The 18,011-nt window shown below is 47.2% G+C and overlaps 1 protein-coding gene and 1 long non-coding RNA gene across 2 annotated transcripts in view, besides 2 other annotated features; both read left to right on the top strand.

The window, feature by feature from the left end:
- ASIC2 (acid sensing ion channel subunit 2) overlaps positions 1–18,011 on the top strand; it is a 1,143,682-nt gene that overhangs the window by 169,895 nt on the left and 955,776 nt on the right. The gene's annotated exons all lie outside the window — the stretch shown is intronic.
- The window catches only part of LOC107985038 (uncharacterized), a 51,924-nt gene that overhangs the window by 492 nt on the left and 33,421 nt on the right, over positions 1–18,011 (top strand). The gene's annotated exons all lie outside the window — the stretch shown is intronic.
- Positions 8,410–8,910: an enhancer, noted in NCBI's record as "H3K4me1 hESC enhancer chr17:32304983-32305483 (GRCh37/hg19 assembly coordinates)". NCBI's record gives its function as "activates a minimal SCP1, AML or CMV promoter by ChIP-STARR-seq in primed H9 embryonic stem cells {active_cell/tissue: H9 hESC(primed)}" and the evidence as "EXISTENCE:reporter gene assay evidence [ECO:0000049][PMID:30033119]".
- Positions 8,911–9,411: an enhancer, noted in NCBI's record as "H3K4me1 hESC enhancer chr17:32304482-32304982 (GRCh37/hg19 assembly coordinates)". NCBI's record gives its function as "activates a minimal SCP1, AML or CMV promoter by ChIP-STARR-seq in naive H9 embryonic stem cells {active_cell/tissue: H9 hESC(naive)}" and the evidence as "EXISTENCE:reporter gene assay evidence [ECO:0000049][PMID:30033119]".

Genomic DNA, 18,011 nt, shown 5'->3' with positions numbered 1-18,011 from the left:
TTGGTGTTGTGGAGAGTATATGAGCTTCAAGGCATGGCAGACCTTTATCCAAATCCCAGCTCTGTAAGCTACTTAATCTCCCTGAGACCCAGATTCTCATTTGTATAATGGGGGATTAAGACTCACCTCAAAGGATTACTCTGAGGGTTAAATATGAATTTATGGAGCACCATGCTTATAAGGCATGGTGTGAAACCCTATGCCTCTTCTCTGTGGTGGCATCGAGGGGCCCTTTGCAGGAGAGCAGGAAGTAAGTGTCCCTCCCATGACATTGTTCTTGCAGAATTAAAGATAAATTTATACTGTGGGTAATAAACTTATGGAATTCATCACTTTGGGATTGTCAGGGGATGAATATGAATAGGCCCAGAAGGATTTAGGAAAATGAATGAAGGCTGGATTCTCAGTGAGTTACTACAGCAGCCATTTCCTAGAAAATGTGTATTTAGGAATAGTGGTCATGCTGAGATGCTCCGTTGGAAAAGAAATAAGAAAGAAATAGGTTCTGCAGTGAAAAGCCTTTGGAGAATGATGCTTACTATATTCCACTCCTACTAAGAACTTCACTTTGGACATCTGCCCAATTGCTGATTCAGCAAATATTTAGAGTATCTAGTATAGCACAGGTACTGTTCCAGGTACTCATAATACTGCAAGGAAAAAAAACCAGATTCCTGTTCTCATGGAGCTTACAGTTTAATGGAAAAGACAAACAATAAGCAATAAACACAATAAATTATGAAATTGTATGGTGTCTTTGAAGGTGAAAATGCACTGGAAGAAAAGAAAAAAGAAAGTTCAAATAAGGGGGATTGCAAATGCCAGGGGCAAGAGGTGTGGGTTATGAAATTCCATAGGGTGGTTAGAGCAGTCTCATCTAAAAGGTGGCCTTTGAGAAAAGAAGAAGGCAATGGAGTTAGACAATTAGCTGTCAGAGAATGTTTCAGGCAGAGGAAAGACCCAGGCCAAAGGCCCTGAGGCTGAGGGATGCCTATTGTGTCTTCTCAGGGAAGGCCTGTGGACCTGGACATAGGGAGAAGGAAGGAGTGAAGTCCTGGGGGCTTTTTCAGCCAATGTAAAGACTTCTACATTACCAGCTTTAGACAGAGGAGTGGCAAGATCTGGCTCAGTGTAAAGGCACTGAGAAGTTCTGCATACTCCTTTAACTTAACCCAGGTCCTCCCAAAAGTGTTTGACCATGGAACTCCTTTTGTTTTCTGTAAAGCCTCTTAACAGCCTTAAGCATATTACACTCTGCCCTCTTTCCCTGGTGGTTCAGATACTCGTTAAACTTAATGTTGTCTGTCCCAAACATTTTGCCTCTGGAATCTTTTCTTTTCCCTTGAAGACCATTAACATCTTGCTTAGCCAGTATTCTAAAACCTCTCTATTCAAGTATGGCCTGTAGACCGGTTGCATCAGCATTTCTTGAGAGCTTGTTAGAGATGCAGAATGTCAGGCCCACCCTGGACACTCCGAGGACACATTAAAGTTTCTATGCACGCTAAAGTTACGAGGTACTGCTCTATGGGATACATGTTGAGAAATGCTGGATTCTAAAGAAGTCGTATGTGTGAGTGGGGGGAGGTTGGGGTGGGCATAATTTTCAGAGAAGTTTATTGTACTTTATATAGATCATTTCCCAAGTGCTCATCTGCCTATGGTCTATCCAAGGTGTTCCTGGAGCTGACTGACTGAGCTGAAATGTCCTACTCACATCCCTCCATGCCTTTAATAATTCATCATGGCTTGAGGCTTCAATTAAAATTCTCTTGACACCTGTTTAGAAGAAGCCTGGGCCTCTTGGAGTAATGAGCCCCATATGTTTATCACTCACATCTATATTCAGACTGCCTATAGCAGTCCCCAAATGCCACTTTCTTTCCACCTTTTAGAATGTCTTTCCTTTCAGTGTCTGAAGTTTCTGGTGTCCTCTAGAAAGACACCCAGATGTTAAAGGACAGGGATGTGCTTATGAGCTAGGAGAATGTCAGGGTTAAAGAGGTGATCCATGCCTTCTGTTTCCTCCACTCTTGTGCTCAGAAACATCCCTTTCTATTCTCTTTGCCTCTCCTTCCTCCATCTCCTTTCAGCAACAGCTATAGTGTCAAGAGCCCATGCCTTGCTTAGGATCAAATGGACTGGTGTTTCCATCTCATCTTCATTATTTCCAGCACCAGCTTAGACAGACAAGTGACAAGATCTGACTCATGCAGTGCAAAGGCACTGTTCTGTCCTTAGAACCTCTTTCCCCCAATTGTGAAGGGGATGCACAAGTGTCTGCATCGTCGGGTGGTTGTGAGGACTACATGAGAAAATCCTGGGAAATTTCCTCTTGGCCCTTTTACGTGCCATGGGCCTTTAATCCTAGGCAAGAGGCTCTAATAATAGAAACTAGGAGACCTAAAAATTGCTTGCACGATGTAGGCGTGTTTGATTGCTTGGTATGGAACAGAGTGAAATTGCTGGGCATATGTGTTGACACTTGATAAGAAACACAGATTCCCAGGTCACCTCATAGACAGGGCTGCACTGGGCCTCCTGCCTAGGCCTGTTCGATGAAGCACCAACAAGCCCCACAGCTTTGTTGCTTTTGCTATGCCCACTGGGACCAGTGAGAGAAGTGCGGTCTTATCCCTGGGAGGAGAGAAAGAGCCAGCATCTGCAGGCGCCCACAGGATGTCAAGGTGAGTGTCCACTCCCCTCCATTGGAGAGGGCTGACTAATCCTCAGTGAATATGATTGCAGCCAGAAAGGGGTTATGGGGAAGGAAGGCTGTGCATTTGTTCTGAGCATGTGTGTGCCTGTGTCCCTTGTTAGAAACCAAAATAGAAAAGAGCATGAAAAGGTCTGAAAACCAGAACTAGTGACAACAAGAACAGACAGCATGGACACATGCTGCCAGGGCCCAAGCTTGCCAGCACAAACAGAGGGCTTCTCAACCTGGGCATTACTGGCATTTTAAGCCAGATAATTCTTTGCTGTGGGTGGGAGTATCCTGTGCATTGTAGAATGTTCAGCAGCACCCCTGGCCTCTACCCATTGGATGCCAGTAGCAAAATCCCCAGGTGGTAACCACTGAAAATAACTCCAGACTTGTACAAATGACTGCTAGGAGGATAGAACTGCCCCCAGTTGAGAGCCGCTGACATACAGAGGGCTGAGTAAATGGGCCCTGTCTTCTCAGTCCAGAAACCAAGCAAAATGCACCAGGGTGGCTCACGAATTTGCACGCCTAACTTCCTCCTCTGTTGCCTCATGGTACATTGGCAGCAGGCAGAGGCCATAGGGATTCCAGGTGACCCTCAGAAGACTGAGAAGAGGCCTCAGTGACACGTTCTAGACACTGCTCTGCTCTCTGACTGTTTTTCTGGCTCCATATCTGGTACCTGAGGCCCAAACGTCATCGAAACTGGGTCCAGAACTGTTCACTGGTGCTCTCACTGATTGGAAACTGTCTGGTGCATTTTGGCTGTTGGGAGCATTTCATCTCACATTGATTTATTATTATATTTTTAAAGACACTGAGATTAAGACTCATCCAGGAGACACTGCTTGCCAAGACATAATTAGGAGAAAATGACAGAGGTAGTAAATATATAATTAACTCTTTTCTTAGTGCTTTTTCCTGGCATTCTTAGTCTATCCACACAGCCTGGGAACAAGTTCTCTGAAATCTCCAGGCAACTAGAGACCAATTACCATCATGTGCACATATTATGTTTTTGAGTAACTGGTATACTTGTTTATATGCAGCAAGTTAAGTGGACAGCCACAAAGATAAACATGGGTACACACACACTCACAGCTCCTAATTGGTTTCTTTTGATTGATGGTTGATTTACTCACTGACTCATTGATTCAACAAAGATTTGGTGCACACCTACTGTGTGTGAGGCACCATGCTGTTTCCACCTTGCTAAAATCTGTCCCTAACTAGAAGACTTTGAGTTCTTGTATATGTATACACATAATGTGTATAAGCATATGATATCAGGGAGTTCTATACACCCATGTACACATACACACATATATTGAGGTTCAGAGAGGCCAAGTAAGTTGCTCAAAGTCACATAGCTATCAAGTAATGAAGCTGGTATTTTGTCACGAGTATGTCTGATTTTCACTTTCCTATACAATCTCCTTTCAAAGCATGCTTCCCAGAGGAGATGATAGTTGAGCTGAATCTTCAAAGGTAGATAGGAATTTACCAGGTCAACATGATAGGAAACGACCTATGCAAAGGCTGGTAGAATTCAGGAACTCCAAAAATAAAATACAGAGAGACACTAGATGCCTTGGGAGGAGCTAGAGAAGACAATATGGACAAGGACCCACTAATGGACGATCTTGTCACAGAACCCATAGCAACGCTGGACTCAGATCTGACTCAGATGTTAATCTGTCTCCTTCAGGAGCTAAAGAAGCTCCCACTTGGAGCTGCAGCCTCTGGCCAGGCCCACCAGCATAAGTTACAAGGTGACCCCAGGCCCATTAAGAAACCAGGGAGCACTTGATTCCAGCCAGTAACTGTCTCCAGCCTTCTCTTGCCCAGGAAGCAGGGACCAGTTAATTGCAGGGTGATCGCCATGTTCTTGCAGAGCATTTAATGTAGCATGTAATTGCAGGGTAAATAAATACAGAGCTATTTCCAGCTCTCAGCCCAGTGCTGCAAGCCTAGTGGTAATTACGGCTGGGGATTGGCTGGGTGCAATTTCCAAGCAATGGCTCCAGGCATGAACTGGCTCAGCCCCAAAGCAGGCCCAGTCTGCTCCCAGGAGAACAAGGATGCAGATCTGTCTAAGCTTCCCATTTACTCAGGTGCTTAGCATCTTAGTTAGCTGCTCTGGATTCCCCAATACTCTAGCCCACAACTGCTTCTTGAGGCTCCTCAACCTTCCGGTTGGTGCCAATTCTCCCTGATAGTAGTGGTTAAGATGCCTGGCCTGGAATCAGACGGAAGTGAGTTTGTATCAAGCCACTTCCTCATACAAGGCTATGTGACCTTAGATAATGTTGCAATTCTCTGGGCCTCAAATTCCTCATCTATAACATAGGGATACAAATAATACATATGTCATAAAATTGTGAGGATTAAATAAGATAATGCATGTAGAATGTTAAGCATGGTGCTTAGCTCAGAATAAGTGCTAGATGTTAGCTAATCTTCCCCCCCTCCCTTCTTTCCTTCCTTCCTTCCTTCTTTCTTCTCCTCTTTCCCCCTTTCCACCCTCCCTTCCTTTCTCTCTCCCTTCCTTCTTTCTTTTCTTTAGAAACTGTGCAAGAGAGGAAAGAACATACATTTGAGAGCCCAAAAGACCAGGGTTTAAGTCCTGGTTCCACCAATTCCTTGCTGTTTTGGTCTTCGAACAGCCATTGAACTTCAAGCCTCAGTTTCCTCGTGTGTTAAGTAAGAACAGTACCACCCACTTCACCAAATCATTGTGAAGATCAAGTGAGATCGCAGTCATCAATGTTTTTGTAAACTGTGGGCCAGGCAAAATGAAAACTTCCTGCTCAGAGTTTAAGCCTGTGTCACAGACTGGGTCCCCAGGAAGGAGACTCTGAGATAGATATTTACTTGCAATGGTTTATTAGGAAGAACTCATAAAATTACACTTGAGGGCTGGGTGCGGTGGCTCACGCCCGTAATCCCAGCACTTTGGGAGGCCGAGGCAGGTGGATCACTAGGTCAGGAGATGGAGATCATCCTGGCCAACATGGTGAAACCCCGTCTCTACTAAAATACAAAAAAAATGAAAGAAAAAAAATTAGCCAGGCGAGATTGTGCACGCCTGTGGTCTCAGCTACTTGGGAGGCTGAGGCAGTGGAGTTGCTTGAACCCAGGAGGCAGAGGTTGCAGTGAGCTGAGATTGTGCCATTGCACTCCAGCCTGGTGACAGAGCAAGATTCTGTCTAAAAAAAAAAAAATTACACTTGAGGAAGGGATGGGGAGAAAGCAGGATTAGACAGAGGGAGAAGCTGAGCTGTGATGCAGTCTCAATGAGCATCTTACCTGATGCCATGGGAAATGTGAAATGGAATGAGCCTTCAGAGTTGTTCCAGACTGGGGAAAGGGGCTCAGGCCTCAATGTCTTTCCATGGATCAATCATTGGATGTGAACCACCCTGTAAAGAAGGCATGATCTGGAGCAAGGCAGCTCTCTGCAGTCAGGGTTAGGGCAAACCCCATGGGGAGCTGGCAGCTGAGAACTTTCTGCAGGCAGCATCCCCAGCAGGTAGCAGGATAAATCCTTCCTTCTTGAAGAGGGACCTGGGAAGCACATCACAGCATCCACCACAACCTGTTGCCTCAACCTACCCAAGTTCCCAGAAAACTTCTTCCCATTCCCAAGATTCTCATCCTTTCCCCTGCCATCCCATCTCCATATGTGTTGTGGCCCATTCTTTCACTTCTTTCACTTCATTCTTTCACTTCCTAGTCTCCCTTTCTTCTCGCCCACTGAGTCATTTCTAGATGTCTAAGTGTCTAAGCTCATCTGGGGAAGTTCTTTGATCCTGGTCAAGTGGTAGAGATGGAGACACAAAGGCCAGCCCTCATCCGGCTTCTCACCTCCCTCACTCAGAGACTTGCTTGAGCTCTGTCTGTCCTTGGGCTCTTGAGTCCTGAAAATATGTGGCTGTCAGTGGAGGTGTGTCCTTCCACCATGCTCCCAGCACCTATTTGTCTCTGTTTGTGGATCTAACCGCTTATGCTTGTCCCAGTGTCCTTGTGTTTGTGTCTCTATCTTTATTATTATTATTATTTTCCTATTATCTGACTTGGCTTGAAGCCCACATTCCTTGATGCTGCTGTCTGAGAATCTACAAGGCTCACCCCAGCTGGAGCCCAGCTCAGAATACCAGGAATACTAAGTGACTCGGATACTTGCTGTTGCTGTGTCCAGTAGAGAAAGAAGAGAGGAGGCCTAAGGGGCACAGAGAGAAGTCTAGTTACTTTGGACCACTTGAGACTCTTCTATGTGGAGTTCCATTCAAGAGAGACTGAGTTCCCGAGTTCTTCATTATTGAAGGTGTGTAAGCAGAAATTGAGACCTCTAAGTGTGAAGATAGAAATGTGATTTAGACCTTGTAGGTCAAGGGCTGGCCACTTATAAGTGATGTCACCTTGAGTAATGACCTCAGCATTCCTGAATTTGTACTTTCACAATGGCCAACATGGTTCACTCTAGCTCTGCAGAATGCTAAGAAGGGGAAAAAGTGAGAGTTCTTGTATGAGGGGTGGGATTTTGTAACTTTTTCCTGACACATGAGGCCTTTCTGTCCCCTCTTACCCCAAATATAACCCATCTTGGTACCTGAGGAGGTCGAGTGCAGAGAGGGCTGATGCTGGCTCACATTCAGTGTGGATTCCTGGGGGTGATGACTTTTCTGGATTTCTTAAAGTACTCTGTGCATACAGGGGACACCAGGCTCCGGGAGAGCCACTCCTGGGCTTGGTGGAGCTCGGCTGGGTGGAGGGGAGAAGTCAGGGTTTCTGACGGCCTCACTCCCTGGCAACTGCCCCAGGGAGACTCTGAATCTCTATGACCCAGTGGTAGGCATGGAGCAGCAGCTATACCAGGTCTCATGCAGGAAGGAAGGACGGATAGAGGCAGGTAGTGTGAATGGTCACTCTTGTGCCCCCAAGACAACGCCAGGCCAAGGTCACGGCTCTGATGGATTGGTGTCATGGCCTGGGTCCAGGCTTTAGAGGGTGTCTTGCCTTCATGCAACTCACTGCCCACCCTCCTCTCTCCTGGTCATGAGTCATAGACTTGGGGAAGACAGCTGCTGGGAGGGACCAAGGCCCTGGAACCAGCTGGGGGTTGACTGCCCGACACCTTACATGTAGTCTGTAAACTGACTCTGGTTGGATCTGTCACCGAGGAGACACAATAAGCCTGTCCTGTCCCCTTCTGTACTTACACTCAGCCCTTTTGTGATAATGTTTCTCCTGTAAGCCCCCCAAGTGTGTTTATTCTGTTTTGGTTTTATCTATGACCCATGTTTAGAAGCCCTCCTCGCTCTCCCTCCATAGGCACCAGGACTCACTGGTGGGGTTAGAAGCTCTTTGACACCCCAGGCCCTTCCTAACACTCCTTACTCCTCCCTCTGTCCAAGGCAGGGTTGGAGGCATCTGCAGACAGTAGGCCTAGCACAGAGGGCCAGAGTCACCCTCAGTCTGGCCTTGACTCGACTCTCCCAGCACACCGTAAGCATAGGAATTTGACACAGGTGGTGTCAGAAATGTTAAACTATGAAATAGGGCTTGCCCTGCAGACCCACCCCAGGCACACCATCCTTTAGCTGGCTGTGAGTGTGCACTATGCGGGCAGGCACAGTTCCAGACTCTGTATAGGAAAGTAACCTGGACCTTGGAGGTTATCTTGTCCTCATTTTGAAGTTGCAGAAACTAAAGTCCAGGGATAGGGCAAGACATTCTAATCACACAGTCAGTGAAAGGCAGGCTGGATCTTGACGGGGCAGTCTGGCCCCAGCAGCCACCCTGGACTGCCTTGACTCGACTGCAGTGTGAGAGGATCCCTGCCATATTTTCTACGTAGCCCTGGGCTGGCATGCAAATAGCTCCTCTCTCTGCCTTCACGGAAACATTGGGACAAAAACTTAGGCAAATGAGGCTTCTAGCAGCTAGGGCCTGAGTGTGATAATAGGGAAGACACTGAGTGGGGTTTACCATCCAGTGGAGAAGCTCACCAAGCCCTGGCCAGCACAGGCACATTCAACCTTCAAACCTGGGAAAGATCCAGGTCTGGCGTGGTCTCAGCTATGAATTCACTCATGTGCCTCACTTTCCTGCCCCACCTTCAAGGGCTGGCACCAGGACTCCACAGCCCATGAGTCATAGACAGCACTGAAACCATGGCCCGGGACCTCCATACTGCACCATGATGCCATGAGCTGGCAAGGCTGCTTGAACCCATGTGCCAGGCAGGCAGCTGCAGACACCGTGCTTTCAGGGCCAACAAGACCGCTGGCCCCAAATTCCTCTCCAGTCTGCTCACAGGGTGCAGGAGTCCTGTAACAGGGCAGGCCTTCTCTGTCCCTGGGAACAATCAGTGTCATGAGGCTTCTGTTGGGAGGGACAGAAAAGGAAACCTACGTATACTCAGGTAGAATCGACAGACATCAAAACCTTCTCTTTGGGGCCAGAGGGAAGGGGAAAGTAAACGGTATAGGATGTAGGGGATTGGGAAAGATCTCTCTTAGGAGAGGGCCTGAAAGGAAAATCCTACAGAAAAATGCCATGGTTATCGAGGATAGAAAAACTGTATCCTTCAAACAAGCACAAGGCCTGGCTAACAGTAGGTGCTCAATAAATATTTGTTGGATAAATGTGAAATCTAGACGTGCACTTTGTGTACCCAGATTTCTGTTTCCTAATTCTGGTTAACTTGAAATCATTTTTTCCTCTGAGCTTTGATGTTCACTTTTGCAAAATGGGAATGCCACAACCTCCCAGCACAGATCACTGAACCACTGCCACGATGCAGGCAGAGGTGCCCTGAAAGTGGCAAATGCTGTGCAGATATGGGGAGGTTTCATTATTCAGCACTTTCCCTCCAACTACCCCTGTGGTCAGCCCCCTGTATCCATCATCAATATCCATTGCTTTTCAGCAATTACTTTAGTTTAATTGGCTCAGGCAGAGCAGTCCATAGGAAATGCCCCCGGTGGAATTGACGAGCCCTCTTCTCGGTGTAGGGAATATCTCTCCGGATTAAGTGTGCCTAATGCTGCCATTTGCTAGATGGGGGATAAAGACAGCAGGGCCAGAATGCAGCTGCACATCATTTGTATCAGAAATACCAGGGGCCAGCTGCCTGGCTGTAATGAAATTCCAGCAAGCCTTGTTGACATTCCAGAGGCATCGCCACAACGAGGTTAAATTATAAGTTGATGATGACAAGCAGACGCACAGGAAAATGTCAAAATTAGCATGGCTGATCACAGGCACCCTCCTCCCTCCATCCTTGCTTCGGTATAGCCACTTTTCCCTCCCCTGCCCACACCCACCCCCAGGACGACCTAATCTCATGATTTGATGTTTAAGGGTATCACAGCAGGAACAAGTTTGTCCTAGTGGCTTCCTCTTTCTGTCTTACCTTTCTCCTTGGGCCACCTGATGGAGTGAGAACAAAGTAGCCTTCTGATGAGTCAGTGACCTTGGACACGTCGCTGACCCTCCATGAGCCTCTGTTTGCTCATCTGTTTATTGAGGATAATGATGCCCTCCTCCTGGAGTGGCTGCAGATTGGATGAGCTCACATGCGTACTTCACCGGGCACAGGGCTCAACAATGTCACTTTCCTCCCTGCCTTCCTTGGGCCCACGTGGGCTCTCCAGTTGGAAGAGAGCAATTGGGAGGGTGGAGCACAGGTGAGTTGGAAAACTAGGCTGGGCTCATACAAGGAGTCCATGCACGATGAAAATCCAGAGTTGGAATGTGGGGTCAGGCCTGGGCAGGTTATTGTGGAGATGGGGACACAAGTCCCTGAGTGTACAGCTGGACTCACTATATGAGACTATGGAAATAAAGGGCAGGCATTCCACAACCAGAAGTCTGAGACTGAATTAGACCAAGTAACACTCGTACCATTTCAAAGCACCTTTAGATGAATCATATTGTTAAACTCACTCAACAGTTATTTGAGAAAGGGATTAATACCCCATTTACAGATGATCTTGGATCTGTAAATGATCCAAGATCATCTGTAAATGGGGTATTAATATATAAGGAGACCAGGGAAGGCTTCATTGAAAACGTGACATTCGAGCAGATGATCCAAGAGCGTCCATCCAATTTGAGGGCAGAGAAGTTTAAAAAGGGGAGGTCTGAAGATAGGCAAAGGATAAGCCAGATTTCCAGTTGAGGAGGCCATCCAGTGATTAGAGATTTTGGGGGTACTGAGAAGAATTTGGGGAAATCTTCAACATGGTACCGTAAAAGGAGAGACTTACATTCCTGAGGATTAAATGTAGGCTGAGAAGCCCAGACAGCAAAGAACAGAGCCTTGTGGGATGACTTCATTCAATGAACAGGGAAAGAAGAGGTGAGGTGCACAGAAGGAAGAGACAGAAATGTAGGCAAACATCATTGACAGGGCAATGATGTGGGAGCCAAACCAAAGAGAGGAAGCATCTAGGAGAGGAAATTATTGATGGGACCAGAACAGAGAGATGAGATCAAGGTCTCCAGCCGAGTCAAACAGATTTTGGTAGGCTTGCCTGGAACTCTCTTTACTATTTATGACCTTGATTCCATGGGAGCATGAGTTATTAAATCCAAAAAATTGATGTGTCAAATTGATTTTCAGGTCCTGGCCCACTGAGACTTGTCAGCATTTTTTTTCTTTTCTGTTCATGTCTTTGGCTCTGACTTTCCTAGAAAACAGATCATGACTTTGGGTTTCCTTAAATGAAAGTGGTTCAGATTGCAGAGGTGGGTCTAGGACAAGGGGTTGAAAGGGGGAGAGAGGAAGATAGAGGGCGAAGATTGAGCCATCTTCCCCTGGAAGAGGACTAGACTGGGCCTCCACCTCAGGAGGCCCAACCCTTTATTTGGGCTCTGATCCCTGCTTCTGTTCAGGCTTTGCCATCCCATATCAGCAAAGGGGCTTCCATCCTGGGGAGGGAGAAAGGATCCACAGGGAAGAACAGGAGACGGTCTCAATTAGGATTAGTGGCCAAAACCAACTGAGGTCAACTTTCAAGCATGATTTCATACATTCATTCATTCAACAAATATTTAGTGAGTGCCTGCCACGTGTCAGACACTATCCTGAGCACTGGCAATATACCAATGAATAAAGCAGACACAAATGTCTGGCCTCAGGGAACTTACATTCTAGTGGGGAGAGATGGCCAACACACCACATAAATAAGTAAATTAGATGATACAATTGTTAAAACATGATAAAGTACTATGGAGAAAATTGAAGCAGGAGAGGAAGACAGGAAAAGCTGAGGGATGAGGGTGGGGCTGCAAGTTTATATAGGGAAACCAGGGAAGGCATCATTTAAAAGATGACATTCGAGTAGACTTGTAGGACTTAGACACAGATGTGAATGGATGGATACTGGGCAATCCACAAAATCAGAACTAAGGCTAAAATAGGTGTGGCCTCACAAAAGAGAGGAATCAGGAACCTCTGAGTATCTAGGATGGAGGAATTCATGGGCACTGTCTTTGTGGCAGGGCTCTATGGATGGATGGATGGATGGATGGATGGATGGATGGATGGATAGATAGGTTCCTATCACCTAACAGCACTCAATTCAGGTCAGTGTCTAGGAAAAGAGAAGCTGGCTGGACTTGCCTAAGTCTCCTGTCCACCTGCCGGGCAGCATACCTTGATGGATACCACCACTGAGACTGCATGCCGCCAGATGGAGGGTGACTGCCCAAGGAAAAATCCAGGGATAGGGCTGGGGTGCCAGGCAGGCAAAGCCAGCTGAGGTTGTACACACATACATACACACACATAAGCACAATGGCTGCTGGAGTAAGACACCAAAGAGAAGTGAGCTCAGAGATCTTTAAATCTGCTTCCTTAACGTTGTAGCTGAAGACACTGAGACTTGGGAATTGGGAGGGAATTACTCATGGTCACCTATTCAGGAAAGGGGAAGTTTGGTAATAGACTGCAGGGCTCCTGACTTGCAAGCCAGACTGCTTTCCACTTCCCAGAGCTTCCAGAGAGCACAGGAGGTTTGAGGAGAAAAAAAAAACCTAAGAAAGCATCTCACAGAATCGTCCCATTTCCCAGCTGAAGAAACTGAAGCCGGGAAGAAGACTGAGTGAATGGGGATTAGTGGACGGAAAAAGGCAGGAAATTTTGGAGGACAGAGTAGAAGGTGGAAAATCAGAACTTTCCTTCCCCTGGACCAGGTGGGAGGATGATGCATGGAGATGTCTTAAGCAAATGTTTCGAGCTCTCCTGGGGTAAGGGGAGTGGGACTGGCAAGGCATCCCTGAGGCCCAGGGCAACCAAGCAGGCCCTGTTTGGGTGTCCTGTGCTCCACAGGAAACACCCCAAGGATCACAGCAAATACGCTTACCCAGAGGAGAACCTGTTTGCAATCTAGGCCAAATCCTATTTGCTTTAATAAGCCTGTGTGTAAACGATGGGCTGTGGCTTATGTCCCATGGCAGCCTGGTGGGGTGAGTGAGCAGGAACAAGCCACTCCTCTCTGTGTCTATATGTTCAGGAGGTCGCTTGATTCAAAGTCAAATACACCCCAGAGTAGAGAGAGAGCTGCGGAGTTCCATTTGGTGTGACACTGTAATTGAAAGTTAGAGCGCTCCTGCCTACCCAATCTTCACTCTGGAATTTGCATCCCTGCCCTGCTGGGCAGTGAGAAAAGCACTCAATTGCCCAAGTCTGGGCCTATTGCTACAGGAGGAAGCATGGTTTGGCCATTCTGCCAGGGCTCTTTAAGCACAGCTTCTATCCTCTCCACCCGCCCCCAACAATGGCAGCTTGCCTCCGCCTGCACCTGAATGGGAAGCTAGGAACCACAGCCCCTCTGTTGATGTCTCCACTGGGTTGTGCTGGCTGCTCTCCCTAGATCCTAAATCCTTGGCTCCTAGCATCTGCTTCTGATCCCTTCAGCTGAATAACCCTTGGCCCTTTGGTAGCTTCTGGGATTTGGACTACAACTCAGAGCTGAGCTCTGTGTGTTCCACCTCAGTCTCTGTGGAGAAGGTTTCTGCTCCTGCTTCCAGCCCAGAAACTCTAGCAGCCAAGCCCAAGAGATGATGCAGAGATTCAGATCATCCCCTCTTTGGGTAGAGATTCCCTCACTGTGGGTGTGCCACATTCAGGGCTGGCCCTAGGCATAACTCTGGTGCTGACCACCTGACCTGGGTTAGTTCTGTCAGCACATCCCTCTTTCAGTCTCAGTCTCTGATTTGCACAGAAGGAAACTGTGACCCAGAGAGGGAGGAAGCTTGGCAAGGTTTGTCTGCATTTGCAGTCTCCTTTTCTCCAGTGCTGGCTGGCTGGGACTCTTTCATTGTCTGCGACGGGGCCCAAGTCCCCACAGTGTGTTATGAGACCTAAAGCTTGTGTTAACACGCTTATTCTTCATCAAAAGTGACCTGTTCTGTGTTCTCTTTTTGAGGATTAGCCATGTGGCAGGAGCTAGTCTTATAAACTAATCCTTAGTAAGGCGTGATGTGTGATCACAGACAACTAATTGAGCTTTTCACACCTTAGCTTGAGGGAGTGGAAGGTGCAAATTTCAAGCAATAAAGGATTTTTGGATTTTTTTGTTTTGTTTTGTTTTTCCAAACAGAGAATGCTTCTTGATGCTCCTTAAAGCATGCTGTATAGTCAGAAACCACATAGCTGGACCAGTCCTACGCAAAGAACTAGCGGACCATTAATCTAAGCCTAGAGATCACTGGAGCTCTGGGCAATACTGACCTTTGTTTGTTTTGTTTTTAAAGAAACAGAAACTACTCTTTTAGAGTTTAGAGCCCACAGAGAGACTGGATGTGAGTATTTTTCTATCGTCCTTCCTGTCATGCATTCAGTAACTAAATCAATCGTCAAATGTATATTGGTCACCTACTGTACATCAAGTTCTCTTTTGGGACCTTTGGGGGATTCATACATGGACAAGGCATGACTCTCCATCCTTAAGACATCATGTGACATGTTTGGTAAGTAAGGTGTATAATGTTGATGACATTGATAATATTAACTTAACATTTATTAGTCTATAGTTTATAGTTGTTCCCAACATTATTCAACCTTTGAAGACTTTGTTTCTTTATCTGTAAGGAGGAGGTGGTGATACCATTAATCCCCCATCCCGCATTGTTGGGAAAATCGCCTGAGGTTACAAATGGGAAAGCACTTAGTAACTGTAAGAACGCTGAGCCTGGTGGTTATTATTATTACTTCTGTTGTTTTTCTCAGTCTCGGGGAAGAATTATTACTAATGTCAACAGAATCACAGCTTCTATTTACAGGAAGACAGGCCAAGAATTTCAATCCCTTGTCCCTCTCCCAATTAAATCATGGATGCAGATTGTTCTAAATCCATCACAAGGTCTGGGTCTGAAGATCCAAGTTTGAGTCCCAGCTCTGTATAATCTTATCAAAGCCTCTTAATCTTTTTGGGTTATAATTTTTTTTTCACAAATACAGATGAAATAGGTAGATTCGTAGGTAGAAAATGTTCTAATTCTGTGTTTGTGTGTCCTTACATGTATATGGGCATGTCCTGACACAATCTTGCATTTCCAAAGAGTTCATTCCAGCAAAAGTCATCCCTTGCTTCTTCCCCACCTCTCTTCTCTTCAGAGGAATGTTCATTATGCATGAATGGGAGGGCAGGGACAGGGATTCACAAACTGTCACTTTCAGGAGCTGGTGTGTGAGCGTATGTTTGTGTATGCATTTGTGTGTGTGCATATGTGTGAAATGTTCTCCTGGTTGCCTTTAGACTTGCCGTTGCTCTTCTCCAGGTGCCAAATATTCTCTCAAGCCTTCTGAAGGTTGCAGCAGGGGCCAGGCCAGAGAACAGAGGTTTCTCTGCTTCTGCTTGGTGTTTTATCGTGTTTTGACCAGGTAGGCTACTGCACTGACAACCCAGGAAACGAAGGCAGGAGAGCTGGTGTGCCGCTAGCACAGCCGGCTTGGAGCCCCACTGTCTTTGGATTCTGTGCTCAGCCGGCTTCTGTATTTGGCTGTGAATCATTTCTGCTGGAGGACTGCGTGCCACTGTGTGCCCTTTGAGTGGTGTGCGCATTGCACACGCATCCTGGAGGGAAGCATAAAGAAATGGGAGTGGAGGAAGCAGCCCAGAGGAGAAATGCAACCCTGTTACGCCCAAGTTTGGCTTCTCAGATTTGATGGATGATAGGTATAGCAAAGGCAGGCTGGCTACCTCTTTTGCAGGACTGAAGGGCGATGAATCTGCTGTCAGCACGAGTGACTCAGACACCTGGGTTTGTTCTGAGCATCTCCCCTTGCCTGTTGGGGGAAGATTTCTCAGCCCCCACTTCACCCCCACCTTTCACCAGATGCCACCAGGGTTAATGATGAAAGCAAGTAGTTTGGAGTCAGCCTGGACACCTTTCCCTGCTGGCTCTGCGTGTGCTCACCGCATTTCTTAGGATAATTGCATAGCCTCAATGAGTGCTTACAACTCTTCACAAAAACTCCTTGTTGAGTTAGCCTTAAATCTCCCTGGGTCTGTGTTAGGGGCTGGTCTGATAAATCCTCCTCCTTGGCCTCTGGGACCCAGGTTGGAGTGGAGGCCGCTGGAGCCAAAGCTGCCTAACTTCCCTGTCTTTTGCGGTTCCCATAGTCCAACTGTGATGCCACGGCTGCTGCTTAACTTCCTCTGCCCATAGATCAGGGCTTGGCTCAGCAGGGGAGCAGTGTGTTTCACAGCTGGGTGTGGGCACTGCCTGTCTCTGGGATGTGTTCCAAGTGCAGCATCCCACTAGGCAGAGACCAAGGAGAGCGTGGCCTGGTCAAGATGCATCCACAGCTCCAGAAGTTTAAGTGGGGTGCTGCCTGGGCTTCGAGAATGAGGAAAGGTATCCAACTACCCCACTGGTTCTCACCTGGGGGCAACTTTGCCACCCAGGGGACATTTGATAATGTCTGGAAACAAGTTTTGTTGTCATAATGAAAGGTGCTACTGGCATCTAGTGGGTAGAGGCCAGGGACGCTGCTTAGCATCCTACAATCCACAGAGCAGCTCCCTACAACAAAGAATTAATGAGCCCAAAATGTCAATAGTTCAGAGACTGAGAAACACTGCTAGCCTCAGAACTGCCGAGGAAATAGGCACGTTGAGATAAACAAGACTTTGCATTGCTAGATCCTAATGGTACCGGCAGCTGTGTGGTGTAAGACAGCTTGGACCATGAGTGGGCCTTTCCTTTCCCTCTTCCCCCAGACCCCTAGCCCAGAGTGGAAAGTTACATATCGGAGGCCTAGCGAGGCAGGTGCTGTTGGTGCCTCACCTGTATCCCCTTGGCACTCACCATGGCAGTAGCTGCCGATGACATTCTACAACAAGCACCTGGGACTCTCCACTTCTCTGCCCCAGGGCTTTTTCTCAGCCCACAAGCAGGACAGAGCAGAAGTGCCCTGGAGTTCCTGCCCCCAGGAATGGCCCTCTGTCATTGATGATGGGAGCTGGAGAATAGGTACAGCTCCCGTCCCTCGGGTGAGACAACTCTGCAGCATGTTCACATTGTCGCCCAGAGACCCCAGTGGGACGGAGCCTCAATTGTCCACAATAGTAATGGGCTCATTAATGCACCCTGCATTGCTTCCTGCCTTCCCCTTTCTTGTTCCCCAGATCCTCTGCTGATGTCACTTGGGACCACCTTGCAGATAGACTACTTCATTCCTTGTGACTGAGCCTGCTTGTGAGACAGCCCAGCCCAAGAGAAGCAGCCATATCCTTGTGCCTGCAGGAACCAACATCGTCTGTGCTAGGTTATGTGTTTACTCATTTGCTTACATCCTCCATTCATTCATTCATTTTGTCAGCCCACAACATTTACTGAGCATTGGCTATGTACCAGAAATTGAGAATTTCATACTCATATAGAGAAGGGGAAACTGAGGCTCTGAGATAAACATACACTTCTTCAAAGTCCCCCAAGAAGCGAGGGACCAAAACTAGAATATAAAGTCAAATGCATCTTATGCCTAATCTTACTACTGGTTGTTTCTCAACGGGCCATGCTTGTAATTACCTGGAGAGTCTTATGCAAATACAGACGTCTGAACCCCACTCCAGAATCAATTACTGTCTTTAGCACTGGGCCCGGGCCTCTGTGTTTTTTTAAAACTCACTGCCATCCGCCCCACACACATTGTCTGACTCAGGATGCAGCAAGGGAGAGGAATGGAGGCTCTTCTGTAACTGGGGCTGAAACTAAAGGCTGACCACCCTTCACCACCTGTCACAAGCCCCCTGTCCCCTTGGGGAAGTTGGCATCCTGTGGG

Source organism: Homo sapiens, chromosome 17 (genome assembly GCF_000001405.40).
Source record: "Homo sapiens chromosome 17, GRCh38.p14 Primary Assembly".
NCBI lineage: Eukaryota > Metazoa > Chordata > Mammalia > Primates > Hominidae > Homo > Homo sapiens.
Note: the sequence above shows the minus strand (reverse complement) of the source record. Positions and strands in the feature narration are given on the sequence as shown.